At 40.5% G+C, this 22,247-nt stretch overlaps 1 long non-coding RNA gene across 1 annotated transcript in view; it reads left to right on the forward strand.

Moving 5' to 3' along the window:
• Window positions 1-22,247, forward strand: part of PITX1-AS1 (PITX1 antisense RNA 1) — a 311,407-nt gene that overhangs the window by 214,925 nt on the left and 74,235 nt on the right. The window lies entirely within an intron of this gene.

Here is a 22,247-nt window from a genome sequence, read left to right on the forward strand (position 1 = left end):
AATGCTATTGTGATAACACACATAAAGCATTTAGCATTATGATCAGCTTCATAATTGCTAGTTTTTATTTCATAATTAATATTATTAGGTCAGATGTGGTGGCTCACACCTGTAATACCAGCACTTTGGGAGGCCGAGGTGGGAGGATCACCTGAGGTCAGGAGTTCAAGACCAGCCTGGCCAACATAGCAAAACCCCATCTCTATTAAAAATAGAAAAATTAGCCAGGCGTGGTGGTGCACGCCTGTAATCTCAGCTACTCTAGAGGCTGGGCACGAGAATCGCTGGTACCCGGGAGGCAGAGGTTGCAGTGAGCCGAGATCATGCCAGTGTACTCTAGCCTGGGTGACAGAGCAGACTTTGTCTCAAAAAATAAATAAATAGATAATGTTTATTGCTATTATTTGACATCTCTTGCATGCCAGGCAAAAAAAAAGGTGAATACTGGTGCAAATTGGTGAGCGTGTTATGTGACAGCTGGAAATCCTAGAGCTGGTCTAGCCTCACCCCTCATGCTGCAGATGGGGATACTGAGGCCTAGAAAGAAATGAAGAGATTGATGGGAGTCTCATAGGGAGGGCATGGCTAGGCCAAGCCTGGAACTCAGGGCTCCTTCTGCCGTGGCATGCAGCTGTCATGCTGGGATGGGGTGGTCCGAGGAGGCTTCCTGGAGGAGGTGGGTTTTGAGATGAGCCTTGGGATGAGAGTAGGAATGAGATCAGCAGGAGAGGAGAAGCGAGAAAGGGCAGAGCACAGTGGCCCAGGATGGTGTGGAGGAGGGAGCCACAAGGGGAGAAAGGTCAGGAGAGACTGGGTGGGGGGCACCAGAGCCATCTCTGTAGCATCTTTTGAGGAGTGCCGCAAAGGCCTCACTGCTCCCACATCCTGCACTCTGCCACTGCCATCAGGTACTTCCTCCTGGCACGTGCAGATCAAATGGTGGCCCTGGGGCCCGAGGCTCCGTCTGCTTGCCTGCCTCAGCGCTCATGCTCAGTGGGGACCCATGGGTCCAGGCTGGAAGTCACAGGCCAGGCATCCATGCTGAATGCATCTCTCCTGGGAGAGCAAACCCATTCAGTCATAATTTGCCATTAACCCCTTATATTAGTTTCCTAGCCCTGCTGCAACAAATTGCCACACACCAAGTGGCTTAAAACAACAGAAATTTATTCTCTCAGAGTTCTGGAGGCCAGAAGTTCAAAACCCAGGTGTTGGCAGGGTTGACTCCTTCGGGAGGATGTGCGGGGTGATCTGTCCTGCTTCTCGCTCGTGGCTTCTGGAGGCTGCTGGCAGTCCTTGGCATGCTGTGGCTTGTGACTATGTAACTCTAGTTTCTGCCTCTGTCTTCATGTGGCCTCCTGCTCTGTGACATCTCTTCTTCTTATAAAGGCTCTTGTCATCAGGTTTAGGAACAACCTGGTTGAGTCAGCCTGGTCTTCATCCTGAGATCTTTAACTTAATTATATCTGCAAAGACTTATTTTTCCAAATAAGTTCATGCTCATGGGTCCTGGGTGGACGTATCCTTGGTGGTGGTGGGGCAGTGGGGCACCATTTTCGCTACACCCCTGGAGCAGTGTGACAGTGTGGCCTTGGGAGATGAGTCACAAGGGAACTTTTGTTGAGATAAGAGGATAAGTCTGGGTGAGACATTGCACTGGGGATCCTGGGCAAATTCCCAGAAGTGTTTGGGCCTTGGCTGTAGAGGTTTTTCTGAGACTGAAGACTCAGGACCCAGCTCTGAAGTGATGATCAGGGCTTCTTGATAGGCACCGCCATGTTGGGGATGGACCTCTGTGCCCATGGTCCACTCGGGGGCTCATCCAGGGCAGTGCTATCCATCAGAACCTTCCGTGGTGATGGAAATGTTCTTCAGATCTGAGCTGTGCAACACAGTGGCTCCTAGTCCTGTGTGTCTATTGAGCTTTTGAAATACCCGCTCTGGCTCGTGCAGCTGAAGGACTAGATTTTTTACTTCTATTTAATTTTAATTTTAATTTTAACTTAGATAGGCCTACGGGACTAGTGGCTTCTGTACTGAGCATCACAGCTCCACAGTGTCTTGATTTCACCCCTTCTCCTCGTCTGTTTTTCATTTCACTATCAAAAATGTAATTTAACACAAGAACTGAAATTGTTCTTTTGTTTTTTTTATGTACGTAATGCTTAAAGTTTTAACTTTTGGCTTAGAGACAGAGGCCAGATGGAGTTGACTGGTTTTAGGCCCAGTACAAGAAAGCATGGCCTCCTCTTGCAGTGAAATGGAAAAGAGGAGTGTTTTCCTGTGGACAGTGCTGTGGCTCACAATTGCCTGGTAGTTAAGCGGGAGAAGCAGTTGGAGAGGCTGCAGTAAAATCTACAGTCACTGGCAGCAAGGAGGTTGCTGCAAGGTTTCTTTGAGCCAGAAAGAAGGGATGAGAACCCATGTCCACATCCCTGGGCCTTGTTTGGAAGTCTATGAGTTAGGGGTTCTTTGCTCTTTATCATGGTTTCTGAGAAGCCACAGGTGAAATTTGGGTCTCATAAAGCAATTTTCCCCCAAATTACTCCTCGTATTCCTGCTTCCACAGATGGATATTGTATACTGTCTTGCTTTAGAGTGAGGATATTTATTTTTGCACACTGTTTAGACATGATCTTAAACAACACTTCATTTATTTACACGTTGGCATGTTTTTGACCCTTCTGGATGAAAAATAAAGTGTTTGCCTGAGAGCAGAAAATCTCCAATGAGGCGGCTCTTCATAGGGTGATGGGATCTTCATGGGCTTAAACTATATGGGCTTTAAGCTCAAGCTCATCTCCTTTTCCTTGCTTCTTCCTGGCAAACCAGACACAGTAGCATCAAGACTCAAAGCGCCTGCCTCTGTGCTTATGCTCCATGGGCACCCATGTGTCCAGGCTAGAAGTCACAGGCCAGGAAGAGGAGGAGGTTCTGGGCCTCAGACTCTGCTAATGCAGGCAGATCAGGCCTATTTTAGATGGGGATTTGTAGAGGTGTCTACTGCTTGGGGTCATGCTAGCACTGCGCTGTGTACATGTAAGACACAAATTAGGGATTTAGAGGCGCGGAGGCTGCTGAGTGTTGCTAGGCAACCTTTCAGCTGGGCCTGGCGGTAACACAATCTCTGGGAGCAGCCCGGTAGGAAGGCCTCCTAAGGACAAAACTGAACTTTAGAAACAGCGTCTTCTGCAACTGCACCTGCCTCGCTTGCCTCTGGAAAGGGTGGGGGCAGGTCAGCAGAGCCATGCTGTTATATAAGCTACTTGGGGGAATTGTGCATCCGTGGATTCTTTATGTGTTATGTCTTCTTTTCCTTATGTATTTATTTATATCCCACCTTGTACAAAAGAGGATCTGTGGTGGCTTTCAGAAACACTGATGTTGCGGCAGGACAAACATTAAATAAGAAGAACCTGGGGCAAATGGAAAGGAAGGGTAAGAAAATAGGAGTGTGGTTTGTCACTCAGCAAGGATACTGAGGATTTACCATGTGCTTGGCTCTGTAGATACAGCAGTGAACAGAAAAACAGCCATGGTTCCTGCCCTCCTGGAGCTTACAGTCTAATAGGAAAGGTGCAGGGGTAGGGTGGGGGAGGGAGGAAGAAAGGCCATTATGGATCCAGTGCTTTTGTTGAGGGTAGGCTGCAGATTAGACTGTGAGTCTCCTGGCGGCCAAAGCAAGAGGTGACTACAATTATGAGGGACTGGGTATGTTATCAGTGTTGTGTTGGTAACAGTACAGCGACAGTAGCTTCATCCTACTGTCCTGGGTGTGCAGATTATGACACAGGTGCCGCCAGGCCCTGTGCAGAGATGCTCCCTTCTTTCCTGCTTTGCTGTCAGCCTCCCTTTGGCACCAGCCTCCTGGTTGGGTTCATGTCATCCAGGACATCCTGGTGGCCATCCCTCAAGTGAAGGGCTTGGGTGCTCTTGGGCCCAGCCAGTCCCAGAACTCTTCCCTGCAACCTTCCACTCATGTCCTAGGCCAGACTGTTCTCTCCTTCTAGAATGCCACTTACCTCTGTTGTCTCTGTCTTCTCTCCTTGCCCATTTAGGGCCCTTTATAGTTTCTAATGTGCCCTTTACTGATAGCATTTTATTTGCTTCTTCCAGTGATATGGTTTGATTCTGTGTCCCCACCCAAATCTCATCTCGAATTGTAATCCCCATGTGTTAAGGGAGGGACCTCTAATCCCCACATGTTCAGGGGAGAAGTGATTGGATTATGGGGGCAGTTTCCCCCATACCATTCTCATGATAGTGAGTGAATTCTCATGAGATCTGATGATTTTATAAATGGTAGTTTTCCCTGCACTCTCACATGCTTTCTCTCCCTTGCCGCCATGTAAGACATGCCTGCTTCCCCTTCCACCATGATTGTAAGTTTCCGGAGGCCTCCCCAGTCATGCAGAACTGTGAGTTAATTAAACCTCTTTTTTTTTTTTTTTTAAATAAATTACCCAGTCTTGGGGAGTGTCTTTATAACAGTGTAAGAGCGGACTAATACATCCAGCAACCTGGTGAGCTATCTGTGATTTTAGTCATTTACAGCAAAAGGAAGCAGAGGCACAGCCTGGCCTGGGTTTGCCTGAGGTTCCACAGCTTCCTGACCCCATTGACGCCTATCTTTGGCTTCATCACATTTGGCATATATGACTTTGCTTCTATAGTGGGCATGCAGCTTGCTTATAGACTCTGGAAGAGCCTAATCCTTCTGCTTCTGGCATCTCTCTGGGAGGCAGGCCAGAATTTCATTACCCCTTCCATGATCAGGCCAGGGTCATCCCTTCATCCCATGGATATGAGTATCTGAGGTCTCATTCTCCCAAGGCAGTCGTTTTGTTTGTCTGTCTGTCTGTTCATTTGTTCATTCAACAAATATGTCTCGAGCAAGCCAGGCACTGTGTACTAATCACCCACCATCCTTGCCCTCAAGGAGCTCACAGTTTAGTTGAAGAAGGATCAACACATGTGAGATGACAGTGCAGAATAAAGAAAGTGTGAGTGTGAGTTAGGGTATTAGTCAACAGCAGCACTGGGTGCTTAGAGTGACAGGAGGTCTGGGACCAAGACATATGGAATGGTTGTAAGGTCTGAACAAATTTAGCCTAGTTGTGTTTTTATTTCAGTTGCTGTTGATTAACACTCTAACTCACACTCACACCTTCTTTATGCTGCACTCTAATCTCACATGTGCTGATCCTTCTAATTGGGCAAAGTTCACTTTAAAGTGCAAGGACATCGAATGCCATATACCCTTGTACGACTTACCCATAGAAGCAAGAAAGGCCTTACCTCCTGTGTTCTTAGAAGCATACTTCTATTAATGCACCCTTAATTTGCAGCAGCCTGGTGGTATAAGAGACAGCCTTGGATAGGTATGCCTGCATTGTAAGCCTCTCATACAAGAGGAGACTTCTTGAGCACTTGGAGACATAGGGCCCTCTTTTCCCTGAGGATTGTTGAAGGAATCTTATTTAAGAACATGAGGGCAAGTGCCTTGTGCGTGTCCCATTAATGAATGCTGCCCGCTCTCAGGTTACATAGCAGTGGTCTTGGATGGATTTCAATGTTTTGATCCCTCTTTAAAGAAAGCAACCGCAGCTATCCCAATTATGAATTTGGAAATACCCTTGAGCAGCCGTTGGGGTGAGAGTCGATTGGGCCATTGTGTTATCATTCCACGCATCTCCCAGAGATAGAGACCTGTATAAGTAAAACCATATTTCTGTTTTTTACGATCCAAGATACCAATCCCAGGACTATCGGGCAGACTCAGGAAGCAGCACATGGGGAACATTCTCAGACTTGGTAAGTAGCTGGCCTGCTGATAGAGGAGATTAAGGTGCTTTTGATCTCTTCTCCCCTAATGACAATGTCTCTAGTTTTAAAAATGACTGGGGGAAGTCTTTCTTTGAACAGTCAAGAGGCTGCTTCAAAAAGAGCTCACACTATTTCTAGACAATGTGTCTGGGAAATTATGCTGCTGAATTGTAAGTGGAGTTAGATGAATTTTCCCTTCTGCCCCCTTGAAATCATGACTTCGCCATTCAGATGCATTAGCTGATGACCCTCAGTGCACCAAGGCTCCCCACTTTCTCCTGGAGTCAGGCCACCTGTCGAGGCTCCAGCCCCTCAGAGGTCGGCTCTGGACAGTCACACCTGTCTGCATTTGCCCGAGGAGTCATTTGTATGCTTTAGGGCATTGCTTTGCTGCCATACTCTGCAACCTCCATCCAATCTTGGCCCTCTGCCTGTTATTTTGAGCAGGTAACCTAGGGAGAGGGACCTCCTGAAGACAGCAGAATGATGTAAAGGTATTCTGGTGAGATTAAGTCTGGAAGCAGCAATTCCTTGTGCAAGATGTGTGAGGGAAAAAAAAATATGTGAGTGTTGCTTTGGCCCTGAATGCGTGGAGAGCTATATGAATTAGTAGAACTCAGATGTCAAATCATCAGTGAAAGAAAATCTGGCTTAAGTAAACATTTAACACCTCACTCATGTCTTCATGACATGGAGATTAAGAGTGTGAACCTTAATGTAGACTGCTTGGGTTCAAGTCCCAGTGTCTCCAGTTATTAGCTGTGTGGTCTTGGGCAAGTCATTTAATTTCTCTGAACATAAATTTCCTCATCTAGAAAATAGCATCTAGCTCATTGAATTTTGAGAAATGAAATAATGCATAAATAAAACACCTGCTTTATCTGCTGTGTGCCCTACCAAATTTTGTTGTTGCTTTGTAATTATAATTATTCTAATGTTATTCTAATCCTTGATTGATTGTTCACAAGCTTTTTACCTTACTTACTGTGACTAAGCTCCACATGCAAGGAGCTATGGGACAAAGAGGGAAGGATGAGATTTCATTTCAATTTCATTAGAGAAGAATAAATGCACAAAAAGTAAAAGTGTGTTTTAAGGCATATAAATTTATACCAAAAGAGAGAGATTATTATTAATATTCATATTTAGTGGGAGTTTCCACATAGAATATAAAAATGCAAGAGAATGTTGCTTCCACCCTAACAGTAAAACAAACCAGACAGTTTATAAAATCACATATTTTTAGGTCTGCCCTGAGGACACAAGGTAATCTAATGAACTAAAATCAAAAGAGTAGCAGCCCCTCCGAGGATATTACCCTGGGCAGAGCAGCAGGAGGAGGAGGTAACCAACAGAGATAGTAAGAAGAAAACAACTGAAAGTGTAATCATGTTTTAAGAGCCAAGTATGGGCTAGCCTAATGGTTTAGAATTATTGTAAAGAGACAAAGGGTGTCTCACTCTTGTCCTTTGGCTTCCACTGAGAGCTTACACAAAAAAATTGGGGGCAGAGTAAAAGGATAGACAACTCTCTGTGGTGCAGGACCTGCCTAAGTCTGTAGCAAGAGAACTAATAAAAACCCTCCCATGCTCATGACCTTTTGTGAGTAAGAGGCAGAGGTTATCTGCCACTGGAAGTTCTGGGAGGTGCATGCCTGAGGTAGAGGTATACAAGGCCTGCCCAACACTAAGGCTAGGGCAGGGAAACCAAGAGAAACCCTCATGGACCATGCATGGGCAAGAGTCAGTGGTTATCTGCTGCTGAGAAAGGGGCAGAAAACCAGGTCTTACTCAGGATCTTGCACCGAGTATAAGGCAGCTGTTATCTGCTACTGGGTGAGGGCCAGAAACCTGCCCAAGCTCAAGGTTCTGCACTGAGTGCGAGATAATGTCACGTAGGGGAGAGAGAGGAGAGTTAAGAGTGATCCTCTCTAAGGCCCAGGTATGTAGGGCTGCCTAAATAAATCCTTCTGAATGCTGGGCCTTGCATTAGGCACCAGATGGTAGTATAACAGTAGGAGAGGGGCAGGAATGTTGAGAGACCTCTTCTACAGTGCAGAGCCTGCTGAAGTCTAAGGTGGTACGGGAGAATTGAGAGAAACTCTTTATTACACTAGGCTTCATGCTAAGTGGGGGCCAGCAATAGTCCACCAGTAAGAGAATCTGAAGATTGTAGTGCATTGAATGTAACTAAAACAATAGCACAGTCCAAACCCAGCTCAAATACAGATTAGATACTAATTCAGCTTCCTGCATCAACAGACTGATAGAGGAAGACAATTCTCCATTTTTTGGTGTATTTGCCTCATTGCTACTATTTTTTACATACAATGTGTTGCATTCAATATAAACTTACCAAACACATACACACCCCCAAACAAATGAACAATGATATGATCACTTGTCAAGACACAACATAGTCAATAGAACGATCAAAGTTGGCCCAAATGTTGCAATTATCAGACAGGGACTGTAAAGTAGCTAAGATAAATATGCTAAAGGATCCAGTGGGAAAAAGGCAACATGGGGATTTTCAGCAGAGGTATGAAAACAGTATAAAAAAAGATCTAAATAGAAATGCTAAAAAATAGAAAACATGATGTCAGACATGAAAAATGCTGTCAATGAAATTATTAGAAGATTGGATACAAGAGAAAAAAACTTAAAGACACATCAATAGAAATGATCCAATCTGAAACAAAGAAAAAAGAATAAAAAATAGTATCTGAGTTCTATGGTATAATATCAAATGTCTTATATATAATTAGAGTCCTAGAAGAAGGTGAGAGAAAACATGAAAGAAGAAATATTCAAAGATAAAAGAATAAAACATTTTCTAAAACTAAAGAGTAAATATATGCCTTATCAAGAAGCTTAGAGAATCCCAAGCAGATTCAGTCAAATTGCTGAAAACAAAGGATAAAGTATGTCAGTTTCAGCATGCTACCGGAAAAAACAAAAGATCTTGTCAACCTATAATTCTATATCCAATAAAAATATCATTCAAAAATAAAAGTGAATTGAAGATATTTTCAAGCAGAAAAAACCAGAAAGAAGCCATCTCCAGGAGATGCTAAAAGGAGTTCTGTAGGCTGAAAGAAAATGGAAGTAATAGAATATTTTTTTGAAAGCAAACTGTGAGGAATTAAAGATAAAGATTACAGTCACTAGAGAAATCACTAAAAATAATTCAGAGGCATGACTAAAATGTCAATAGAGGAGCTAAAATGAAATACTAAAAATACGTTTCATCCTAAAAATAATAGGAACATAAAAACAAAGAGCATAGAAGATAAAAACCAAACCAAAATTTGGTTTAAAATCAAAATAGATGAATAATTGCATTAAATATAAAGGGACTGACCTTCCCAATTAAAAGGCAGAAATTGTCAGACTGGATAAAAATGCAAGACTCAACTATAGAAATACACTTTAAATATAAAGACACAAACAGGTTGAAAGTAAAGTATTTGAAAAAGATAACCTGCAAATACTGTGCATAAGAAAACAGGTGAAACTAATATCAGGTGAAGTAGACTTCAAGTTGATAAAAAGATATAAGAAACAGAATGCTATTAAGGGCTTAATTAATCAAGAAGACATAAACATCCCCAAAGTTTTTGTACCTAATATCAAAGTTCCAAAATACATGAAGCAAAAATTGATAAAATTAAAGGAAATTATACATATCCAATCATAGCTGAAGAATTTAATATACCCTCTCTCAGTAATTAATAGGCTGAAAAACTAGTTGAGTATATGGAAGAGTTGAACAACACTGCTGATAACCTGATCTAATTGACATTTTTAGATTACTCCACCTAACAGGAGCAAAACACACATATTTCTCTAATGCATGTGAAGCATTTCTCAAAAGAGATCATGAACTGGATCATAAAACAAGTCTCCATAAACTTCTTAGATTGAATTTCTAAGTATATTCTCTGAACACAATGAAATGTAAAGTGGAAATCAATAACAATAAGATACCTAGAAAAATTATTCGAATGTTTGGAAATTAAACAACACATGACTAAATAAACCACAAGTCACGGAAGAAATCATGAGGGAATTTAGAAAATATCTTAAATTTACTGATAATGAAAATATTTTGATAATGAAAATCAAAATTTGATAACAATGATGAAAATCAAAATCTTTGGCATACACAAAATTTAAAGGGAAATGTACAGCTTTAAATGCTCATATTAGAAAATAAGAAAGGTATAAAATCAATGACCTTTGCTTCCACCTTAAAAAGCTAAAAGAGATGAGTTAACTAAACCATAATCAGAGTAGAAAGCAATAAAGTAGGAGACAAATAATCAAGAAAATCAGCAAAAACTGAAATTGGTTTGCTAAAAAGATTAATAAAATTGATAAACACCTAGGAAAACTAATGAAGGTAAAAGGTCAGAAGATACAAATTACCACTATGAAGAATAAAAGAAGGGACATCACTAAATAGCCTACAGACCTTAAAAGGATAATGTAGTCATATTATAAATAACTTTATGACAATTAATTCAATGATTTGGATGAAAGGGACAAATTCCTTGAAAAACATAACTTAAAAAATGGACCCAAGAAGAAATAGGAAATATAAACCCTATAGTCATTAAATAAATTGAGTTTGTAATTTAAAAAACTTCCCACAAACAGAAATCTAGGCCCAGCTAGTTTTCTCTGGCAAATTATTTCAAATATTTAAGGAAGAAATAATATCAATTCTACACCAAGTCTTTTAGAAAATAGAATATTAGAGAATACTTTCCAACTCATTCTATGAGGCTAGAATTATCTTGATACCAAAATCATACAAGGAAATTATAGAAAAGAAAGTTATAAACCAAAGTTTCTCATTATCATAACTAAATCTTTGATAAAAATCCTTAACAAAATATTAACAAATAAAATCCCATAATATAAAGAAAAAGATAAAGTAGGGTTTATCTCAGGAATGTAAGGTTGTATAACATTTAAAAAATCAATATAATTTACCACATTAACTTATTAAAGGAGAAAAATTATAAGGTCATTTTGATGTAGAAAAAGCAATTGACAAATCCCAACATCCGTTCTAGATAAGAACTCTCAGCAAACTAGGAATGAAGAGTCTTTTTTCAATCTGCCAAATAACATCTACAAAAAACCTATGGCTGACATACTTATTGGTGATTGAATGCCTTCCTCCACAGATTGGAGACAAGGCAAGGATGTCTCTCTTACAACTTTTATTCAGCATTTAACTTGGAGTCTTAGACAAAGCAATAATATAAGAAAAAGAAATAAAGGATATATAGATTGGGAAGGAAGATGTAGAATTGTCTTATAAGTGACATGATTTTGTACAGAGAAATTCCTAAGGAATTCTTAACTTTAAAAAAAATTATTTTAATTTTTGTGGGTACATAGTAGGTGTATATATTTATGGGGTACATGAGATGTTTTGATACAGGCATACAATGCATAATAATCATATCATATAAAATGGGGTATCCATCCCCTTGAGCATTTATCCTTTGTGTTACAAACAATCTAATTATACTCTTTTAGTTTTTTTTAAAATGTACAATTAAATTATTATTGACTATAGTCACCCTGTTGTGTTATCCAATACTAGGTCTTATTCATTCTAACTATTTTTTGTACCCATTAACCATCTTCACCCTCCCCTACCCTCCCACTACTCTTCTCAGCCTCTGTTAACCATCTTTGTACTTTCTATCTCCATGAATTCAATTGTTTTTATTTTTAGATCCCACAAATAAGTGAAAACATTCAATGTGTGTCTTTCTGTGCCTGGCTTATTTCAGTTAGTGTAATGATTTCCAGTTCTATCCATGTCATGTTGTTGCAAATGACAGAATCTCATTCTTTTTTTTATGACTGAATAGTACTTCATCGTGTATCTGTACCACATTTTCTTTATCTACTCATCTGTCGAGGGACTCATAGGTTGCTTCCAAATTTTGGCTATAGTGAACAGTGCTGCAACAAACACGGGAATGCAAATATCTATTTGATATACTGATTTACTTTCTTTTGGGTATATATACCCAGCAGTGGGATTGCTGGATCATATGGTAGTTCTATTTTTAGTTTTCTTGAGGAACCTCCAAACTGTTCTCCATAGTGGTTGTACTAATTTACATTCCCAACAACAGTGTATAAGAGTTTCCTTTTCTCTACATCCTTGCCAGCATTTGTTACTGCCTGTCTTTTGGATATAAGCCATTTTAACTAGGGTGAGATGCTATCTCATTGTAGTGTCAATTTGCATTTCTCTGATGATCAATGATGTTGAACACTTTTTCATATGACTGTTTGCCATGTGTATATCTTTTTTTGAGAAGTGTCTATTCAGATCTTTTGCCCATTTTAAAATCAGATTATTAGAATTTTTCCTATAGAGTTGTTTGAGCTGCCTATATATTCTGGCTATTAATTCCTTGTCAGAGAGTAGTTTGCAAGTATTTTCTCCAATTCTGTGGGTTGTCTCCTCACTTTGTTGATTGTTTCCTTTGCTGTGCAGAAGATTTTTGTCTTTATATGATCCCATTTGTCCATTTTTACTTTGGTTACCTGTGCTTGTGGTGTATTACTCAAGAAATTTTTGTTCTGACCAGTGTCCTGAGGATCTTCCCCCATGTTTTCTTGTAGTAGTTCCATAGTTTGAGGTTTTAAATTTAAGTCTTTAATCTATTTTGATTTTATTTTTGTATATGGCAAAAGATAGGGGTCTAGTTTCATTTTTCTGCATATGGATATCCAATTTTCCCAGCACCATTTATTGAAAAGACTGTCTTCCCTGTTTATGTTCTTGATACCTTTGTCAAAAATGAGTTCTCTGTGGGTGTGTGGATTTGTTTCTGGGTTCTCTATTCAGTTCCATTGGTTTATTTGTCTGGTTTTATGCCAGTACCATGCTGTTTTAGTTACAATAGCTCTGTGGAATAATTTGAAGTCAGGCAACGTGATTCCTCTAGTTTTTATTCTTTTTGCTCAGGATAGTTTTGTGATTCCATATATGTTTTAGGATTGTTTTTTCTATTTCTGTAAAGAATGTCATTGGTATTTTGATAGAGATTGCATTGAATCTGTAGATTGCTTTGAGTTTCCTAAGGGATTAAAAAAAAAGTAGAACTAATAATTTATTTTTGCAGTGTTGCAGGATATAATTAAATTATAATTCCATATGTTAGCAATGAACAATTAATTAACAATGAAAATGTCAAAATAGTAATTGTAGCATAAAAATTCAGCTACTTAAGGATAAATTTAATGAAAGATATGAAAGACTGGAAACTATATAATGTTGATGAGAGAAATTAAAGACCTAAATAAATTAAGAGATATAACATGTTTATGAATTAGAAGACTCAACATTAAGATGTCACTTCTCCCAAACTGACCAATCCTAAATAAAATCCCAGCAAGCTTTTATCTTGGACAAAATAATTTTAAAATTTATATGAAAAGGCAAAGGACCTAGGATAGCCAAAGCAATATTGAAAAAGTAGAGCAAATTTGGAATATTTACCCTACTTCACCACAAGACTGACTATATAACTACACTAATCAACACAGTGTGGTATGGATGAAAGGATGGGTTAAAAGACAAATGGAACAAAATAGAGTCCATGCATAGACCCAAGATATATGGGAAAGTGATTTTTGACAAGGGTGCCAAAGAAATTCAGTAGTGAAGGAAAATCTTTTCAACAAATGGTACAGAAACAACTAGATATTAATTTGAAAAAAAACTTTGTTCTTACCTCTAATAATATAGAAAAATCAGTTCAATATGGGTCATTGATCTAAATGCAAACACTAAAGTGATAAAATTACTAGAAAAAAACAGAGTATTTTTGTAACCTTGAGGTAGCAAAGACTTCTTAAAGAAATCATGGAAAGTACAGGCCATAAAAGCAAAACTTGATTAACTGGGTTTCAATAAAATAAAATCTTTCTGCTTATCAAAGACACTGTTAAAACAAATGAATAGGCAAGCCACAGATTTGCCAACACATCTCTGACAAAAGACTTCCATTCGGAATACATAGAGAAATTCTTGCAACTCAACAATAAAAAGACAAACAATGTAATTAAAAATTGCAAAACAACTTGGATAGAAATATCATTAAAGAAGATATACAAGTGGCCAATACACACAGGAAAAAGTTTTAAACACCAACTACTAGATATCAGGGAAATGCAAATTAAAATTATAGTTAGTGACCACTAGATATCAACTAGAAGTTGGTTAAAGTGAAAAAAACTGATGACACTAAAAGTGGGAGAGGATGTGGAGGAACTGGAACTCTTATGCATTGTTGGTGAGAGTGTCAAATGGTATAACCAGTTTGGAAAACTAATACTTCCTTTAAAAGTTAAAAATACACTTACCTATAGCCAGCATTTCTATTCCTAGGTATTTACATGAGAGAAATGAAAATATATTTCCACAAAAATCCTTGTATAAGAATGTTCATAGCAGTTTCATTCGTAAAAATCGAAAACTGGCAAACGGCCCAGTTGTCCATGAGTGAGGAATGGATAAAGACACTGTGGTTTAGTCATGCAACAGGATACCAAGCAGTGTAACAGAATGAACAACTAATACCATCATGGATGAATCTCAGACATATGATGAGTGACATAAGCTGCATATGAAAATGTGCATACGATGGGATCCATTTATAAGAAAATCCAAACTAGGAAAAACTAACCTACGATGACAGAAATAAAACCAGTGGTTGATTCTGGGGATAGGAGATTGCCTGGGAAGTGTGAGAAATGTCCTGTGGCTTTATGTGTATTCATCAAAACTGTTTGATCAGAACACTTAAGACCTGAGCACTGGACTTTATATAAATTATACTTTAATAAAAAATGTGAGATAAAAGTCATTTCTTTCACTGGACTTCAAATCACAATTAACAAATTTGAAGTTGCTACACTTAATATAACCGATGATGTAACTATCATAGTATGATGGACAAGTGCTAGGATAAAACTATTAGAAGCCTAATTCGAAATATTGAATGAAGGCTACATGCTTTAAAGAAATCTATCCTCCAGAAGCACCTGTTCTTGAACCAAAATCTGCCCATTCAGCCTAAGCTTTCAGGGAAGTCAGGGCAGGTAAGGATTGGGCCCCTGCCTGCCTCGTGACACGTGGGCAGGGTGTCCGTCTTGGCTGTGGGGCAGCGGTCACAGCCATAGCCACGGATACGAGCCTTAATGGTATCTGTTAATTATCTGCTTCTAAATCTGGAGTTTATGAAATGCTCTTCACTAGACTTCAAAAGCTGGGAGTCATCCCGGTTATCTATTCAAGAGCCCAGCTTATCCCTCTCTCTCAGTCTGTGACATCAAAGACTTAGTTTCATTGCAAAATTGTCTGGCACGATGGCATCAGGTCGGCTCCCCTTTGAAAGGGTTTGGAACACAGTGATGAGTCAGAGCTCCTCCGAGGAGCACCTGACCCACCCGCTCTCCTCCGCGTGGGCTTGGCCCAGGGAGACCCGGCCAGAGGCCTCGCTGATGTGGACGTGGGATTCATTTGGCTTGGCTCTGCTAGGATTTGGAGCAAAGCTCTCCTGCTTGCCTATAGGGAGAAAACCTCTCAATCTAGGCCTGGGAGGGTAGGGTTTATTTGCTTGCTTTTAAAATTTTATTTATTTATTTATTTTTGGTCACTGGTAATAATTTTTGGGGGTGGCGGGGGGGATGAAACTATACGCCTTTCTTAAACTGCCGGAGCATGACCAGGAAGGGTCAGCTTTGATTCTGGTCTCTCTTTTCACCCTTTTATTTGAATGCCATGAGGACATTTCCCTATCAGGTTGTTAGGTGAGAATCTATTTCTGTTTTTTCTGCTTTCCTTGTTTTCTTTGCTAGAATACATTTTGTCCTCCTAAAGTAATACAAATGTTAATGTGTATACAGGTTTTTTGAACTAAGGATATTAGTTGAATTTATTTGCTGACAAAAATAATGAAAGGTCGCTTCCCAATTGTTTCTGTACTCCCTGGTAATTTTGGAAGTTAAAATGCTGTGTTGTCACTTCCCAGGCTAACAAGTCTCATCTCACTAAATCATGCCACAGATGCGAAGTTTCAGTTTAATTTGAATCCTGGTACTGTGCTTATGGAGGTAAATGAAGACCCTGGCTTTGTAAATCTTCTTTGTTTTTCCACTTTTATTTTTAAGTGTAGCTAGATACAAAGTTTACGTCCATTTAGCTGACCTTTTCAACAGTAAGAGCTATTTTATAAGGCAGCAGAAGTGAAAGTTATCAGTGCGGCTGGGTAATGTAAAGTATTTATGAATGAATGTGCAAAAAACAATCTGGGGGTGTAAAATGTGGGGCTGGGCTCGAGCAGACCCGCTTGTGACTTGAGCCCTTCTTTGCAGTAAAGCATAATTCATGCTGCTGTTAGCCCTTAAAACAGGAAATAATATACCCATTTAACTTAATCACAATTTATATTACATGTGCATATTTCTAAACAAATGTTGTAGATGGAGAGTTTGGTAGCAATAATATTTATGAATTACACTTTTAGTTAGCAAAGGAAATGTGTGACCTCTTACATTTGGTTTGACATTTGAATTTGGTGTTCAGTGTATTTGACAGGAGTGATGGATTCTCATTAGCTCAATGTATAAACAGGAAATGCTTCCTCGGTGAATAGTTATTAATGTAGGACATCCCTGAATTTGAATTTTCAGTTGCTTATTCTGGTCCAGACTGTGACATTTATTTAATTTCTTTCTTAAAAAAAAAAAAAAGAAATGCATGGCATTAATTTTGTGTGTAGCAAACCTGAACAACATATGAATGTCAAGCTCTGAAAAACAGAAAATTGTTCACGAGTGGGGTGGCAGGCGAGGCTGTTGAAGGCTTAGACGAAGGGAGCAGCCCTGGCCGCAGACAGCCCCCATGTGGACTCGCAGTTGCTTGCCTTAATTTCTAACTAAGATAACCTACAGGAATTAGAACATGACGTGGGGGCAGATTTGAGTAAGCTCATACTTAACCTTTACCCGCAGCAGGATTAAAGCAGTTCGTGCAAAACGGGATCAGAGCAAATTTGCAATGTAGCTTGAGACAGCAATTTTATTTTGAGTTTTCTGCACTAGCTTGGTACTCTGTGACAATACCAAAAACACAGGATTCGGGGTGTGGGAAAGCTAGAAGCATCTGACTTCTAATGGGAATGAGGAGAAACCAGGCCAGTTGGCTGCCGTCCGCCATGGGCCCCGGCCCGTCCCCAGCCCCTTCTGAGTAAAGCTTAGAATCTAATTAGAAGTCAGTTAGAAACCCGGAAAGTGAAGCTGGCAGGCCCTTAATCTGAATTTCAGGTCTTCAGAGAAGGAAAGTAGCGTTTTTATTGTTGGAGGTCAAAGTTTAAATTTAGTTTATATCAGATTACCAAAATATGCTTTCGGTAAGGTTAGATTCTCATGCTTGGAGAGAGTGGGTCTGTAATGAAAGCAAACAGGGCGAGAAATAATCCCATTACAGATGAACTCTTCACTTGAACCTCAAACATTTGGGAACCATAATAACACCATCTCGGCAGGAAGATAAAGGCTGGACAGGCAGGAGCTGGGAAGGAACCTCCCGACCACCCGGTTGAACATGATCCCTTCCCACCCCGCCACGCCTGGGCCTGGCTTGATCTTAGAGCACTTAGGTAAATGACTTATTTATTAATTAGATTTTCTTTCTGCCTCCTCTGCTAAAATTTAAGCCCTGAAAGGCAGGGATTTTTGTCTGTTTTCTTCACTGCTACCTCATCACTGTGAAGATCACAGCCTAGCTCACAGGAAGCACTTGCTAAATATTTGTTGAATAAATGAAGGGATCTTGGTACCTCTGAGCAGAAAGCACACATTTTTAAAGCCAAAGATTTTGAAATTAAGAGAGAGAGCCAGTACTTTGGTGTTTTGGGAGAAGCAGTGAGTGCCTCGGAGGGAAGAAGGAGCCGTCACTCTCGTGGGTTCTGGGAGGGAAGCCACAAGTCTCAGATTGGGGATTGCCAGCTCGGAGTCCATGAGCAGATTTTCCTTGCATGGGGCTTAATGCTGAGTGGACACTCAACACTCTGGTTTTGAGCTAGAATTTATAAGGGGGTGGTTTGGACGAGCCCTCTATTGTGTGTGCCTGGGAGCTCCTGTCTGTCTTTCCTGCACCCTCTTAGGACAGTGAAGGGGCGCAGGCTGAGCAGGATGAAGTGAATACCTCCCGTTGTGAACTGGAGATGGGGAGGGAGCTGGGGGCATGATTCTCCTGGGTATTCACATGCACTGTAGCAAGGAGGCCTGTCCGCTTCCTGGTTAGGAATGAATAATCTGAAGGCTGAGAGACGGGACTGGCAGGAAGGGGATGAGTCTCACTTCATGGCTGGCCTTGCTGTTCCTGAGCAATCTAGGATCAAAACCCCACCAAGACATTCCTGGGCTTGAAACAAATAAACCGCCATGCTTTTCACTAAGGATGTGCTTGTGGGAAAACTGTCCTCTTTCCTCATTCCTCCTTTAGAAATCACGTGTGAAACAGACGGCTTGCTTGTGCCTCCGGTGAAAATAATTTGCAAACTCTCCCCTTTCCTCCTTCCTCATTGAAAATGACGCACAGCCTGCCCTCTTCCATAGTTCAAATACTCTCTTAAGAATATTGCTGTGGGTCACTATTTTCTTTTGGTCCCCAAAAACAAAACATTGTTTATCAGTCTTGTAACCCCCAGATTCCACCTCTTACTTCCCAGACCCTGGTGGTAGTATCCGTCTGCCAGAGACCAGAGAGAAAAGTCAGAGGTTTCAGCTGCAAAGACCAACTCTCTCAACAAACATTAATTCAGTGTGTGTTCCCTGAGCACCCACTCTGGCTGGGCACTGGACGTAGAAGAGTGAGCAGACAGATGTGGTTGCTGCTCTCCGGGAACTTTAATACCTGGGATGATAGCAACTGACTGTGTGTTTTGATGGGGGTGAGTTGACCTGGAGTTGGGGGTGGCTGTGGGAACTGACCGTGGCTGGGCCCCAGTGTGAATACTGTTCTTGTGACCCTAGAAGTGAGTCTTTCAGGCTTGTGCTTCCCTGGTGGGGCTCCCAGACATGCAGAGAGGCTGCCTTTGGCTCAGTATTTCGGGGCAGAGGGCGGTCTGGTTGTGAATCATTCCCTAGAGAACCAGGCTCTTAAAGGGAAACCAAAATGAGTCCCTTGCATAGGCGGTTTTCAGACTGATGTGCAAACTCTTTTTACCAGTGCCACCTTCTGAAGAGTAGGAAGTTTCCCAGGCAGAGCTTGGGAAGCATTATTGAGCACCTACTGTGTGCCAGGCCCTTCCTTAGGCCCTTGGCTTCTCCTTACCTCATTCAGATCCAGAGATCTTTTGTTTATGCCGTCATTATCTCTTGCACGGCCCTAATCCCCCATTTATCCAAGTCCTCCCGTTCTCAAGGCCTTAGAAGCCTCTACCATGAAGCCCTCATATCTGAGGCTCATATCTTGTCTGCCCCTGCACCCTATGGATTTTAAAAATTGTTCTCTCAAAGCATCATGTATTTTGTCTCCCTTGTCTGTGAACTCCTGTGTGTAGAAGCTGTGCCACTTCTCTGGCTGCTTCTTAGTGGCTATTGACGAGTGTACGCCATAGTATTTATTAATAGTAAGCATGCCTTGAGGTTCTGCAGCCACTTCCCCTCTACCAATAAACTTTGTATTTTGGTGTGACTGAAAAGTTTCCTACTTAAAATATTATGAAACTAATATATGTTTGCTATAAAAAGCCAAACCCAGCATAAAGATGGATAAGGAAAAAATCAATTATTTTGTGAGTCCCCCTTTTCAATCCCATCCCCCTGAAGTTACAGTGTCAACAGTAAATGGTGATTACCTCTATGCCTTTCTTCATGCAAAAACTTAAATAAAAATATAGGTGCATACTTAGAGATTTTACCTTTTTCTTCTTTTAAAAAAATAAAAATTTGCTCCTGTTAAACATTACATTCTTTCATTGTTTTTAATGAATGCCACATCATGGTATTACATTAGCTAGTAAACTTGCTGAAAAAACATCTCTCCTATCAGTAAGGGGCATGGGCAAATTCAAACCTTCAGATACATATGAATAACTTTTGAAAAATATGAAGGGATATAAAAGAACAATAAGAAAAAGAGATAAACTCGCTAATAAAGCAGAAGATGTTAAAGGAGAATGTGTTATATGAGGAATTAAAAATGAAAAAAATCCATCATTTTTCTATGTTAGTAAATGTAAATATTCTTTTTTTCCAATAGCTGCATATTTATATTCGATAGCACAGACATACTTTTTTCAACATTTTAACTGGTAGACATTCATTTTTAATTTTTGGCCCTAACAAGCAAAGCTGCAATAAGCATTCTTATAGATATGGCCTAAAGGACATATTCCTTAAAGTGAGACTGCAGGTATTTTAAATTTTACCGGATGCTGGCTGGGAGCGGTGGCTCACACCTGTAATCCTAGCACTTTGGGAGGCCCAGGCAGGTGGATCACTTGGGGTCAGGAGTTCGAAACCAGCCTGGCCAACATGGTGAAACCCAGTCTCTACTAAAAATACAAAAAAAAAAAAAAAAAAATAGCCAGGTGTGGTGGCAGGCACCTGTAATCCCAGCTACTCGGGAGGCTGAGGCAGGAGAATTGCTTGAACCCGGGAGGCAGAGGTTGCAGTGAGCCGAGATCACGCCACTGTACTCTAGCCTGGGTGACAGAGTGAGACTCTGTCTAAAAAAAAAAAAAAAATGCCACATACCTTTCCTAAAGGTTGTAGCAATTCATCACATTTAGTGATGAATGAGACCTCCTATTCCCCATACCCTTACTAGCACTGGGCATTACCAATCTATTTTAATTTTGTCCATCTGGTGGTTCACATTTGTTTTGATTTATATTTCCCTACCTACCAGTGGAGTTTCACATCTTATCATTGTTGGCAACTTGCATTTTATCTTCTTTAAATTGCCATTTCATGTTTTTTGTCTATTTTTCTGCTATTCTTTACTTTTTCTTATTAATTTGTAGGAGTCCTTTATTATGACAGTAAATAAACCCTTTGCCATATGTATTGCAAATATTTTCTCCCATCTATTGTTTTCATTTTATCTATGACAAATCTGGCTTCCTAAAAATGTAAAACTAATTATATTGTCTAAATATTAAAACATTCTCTTTCTTCATGACTTTTTAAAAATGACTTATGAAGCCCTTCCTACTCTGGCTTTACATATACATTCTTTTAAATTTATTCAAATATTTTTAATAGTTTTTCTTTTCATTTAGATCATGAATCTACCAGGAAGTTATTTATGTACATGGAATGTGGAAGGGCCTGGCTTTACTTAATAGATGGTGTCGGACTGACCATTCATAGGGGAGGAAAAATACAAAACAAAACATCCTTTTCCCACTGACTACGCCTGTGTCCTATATGGAGTTATTCTACCCTTCTGATCTATTGGGTTCCCAGGCCTTGCTTTCAAAACTTTGGGGTGGGAGGCAGCACCCACTGTCCCAACAGTGTCCCAGGCAACAACACGGGCACTGGCTCCCTGCTGAGGCAAATCTCTTTTTGCTTGATATTTAACTGTCAGAGGGAAAAGGGGAGGGTTTGGATTACACATTTTCAAAGTCAGATCTATTCAAAGTTCTCATAGCAGAAAATGCCCCTTCTTTTAGCTTGAAAAATAAAAACAACCCAAATTTTGAATTATGACAACCCCAACTGGTGCACGAAATCGCTGACTACTTCTGTGCTGGTGACCACAGAGCCCAGTGTAAGAGGTCCTGGTCACCGGCACCCTCGTCCTCAGGAGGCTCGGGGGTGGTGTCGCCTGGCTTTCTTTTCAGAGTCTACTCTCGGGCTGAGATTTTCCTTAGGCCAAGTTTCAGCCTGGAGCAAATTTTTTATGGCTGTGAGCTAATCCCCTAGCAAGCTCCGGTTTATACAGAAACGCTGACACAGTGCGAGCTCTGGTGATTCAACTGGGGCGGCTGGGCTATTTATGGCTCCCTGATGCCAATAGGGGATAATTCTTATTTAATAGATTCAGTTTCTGTTGGGGCAGGGATCCCACTTTTTCCCCCCACCCAGTGGGGCAGTGGAACATCTTCCCCAAGAGCCAAGCGAGGGGGAGGCTGCCTGTGGGGAGGGCCTGCCTTGGAAGCAGCCGAGCTGCAGTAAGTTATGACCAAGGTGGGCTTTTCAGCCTGGGATTGCTGGAGCCTTAGGAACAAATAAATATTTTCATCTCCTATTTTGTCTCTGGGCAATGGGCCCAAAAACTGCCTTGATTCTTCTCAGTGAAACCTGGGAGAAAGCTGAGGATGACTTAATTCCCTCTTCCCTCTTCCCCTTTCTGCA

This window comes from Homo sapiens, chromosome 5, assembly GCF_000001405.40.
Source record: "Homo sapiens chromosome 5, GRCh38.p14 Primary Assembly".
Lineage (NCBI taxonomy): Eukaryota > Metazoa > Chordata > Mammalia > Primates > Hominidae > Homo > Homo sapiens.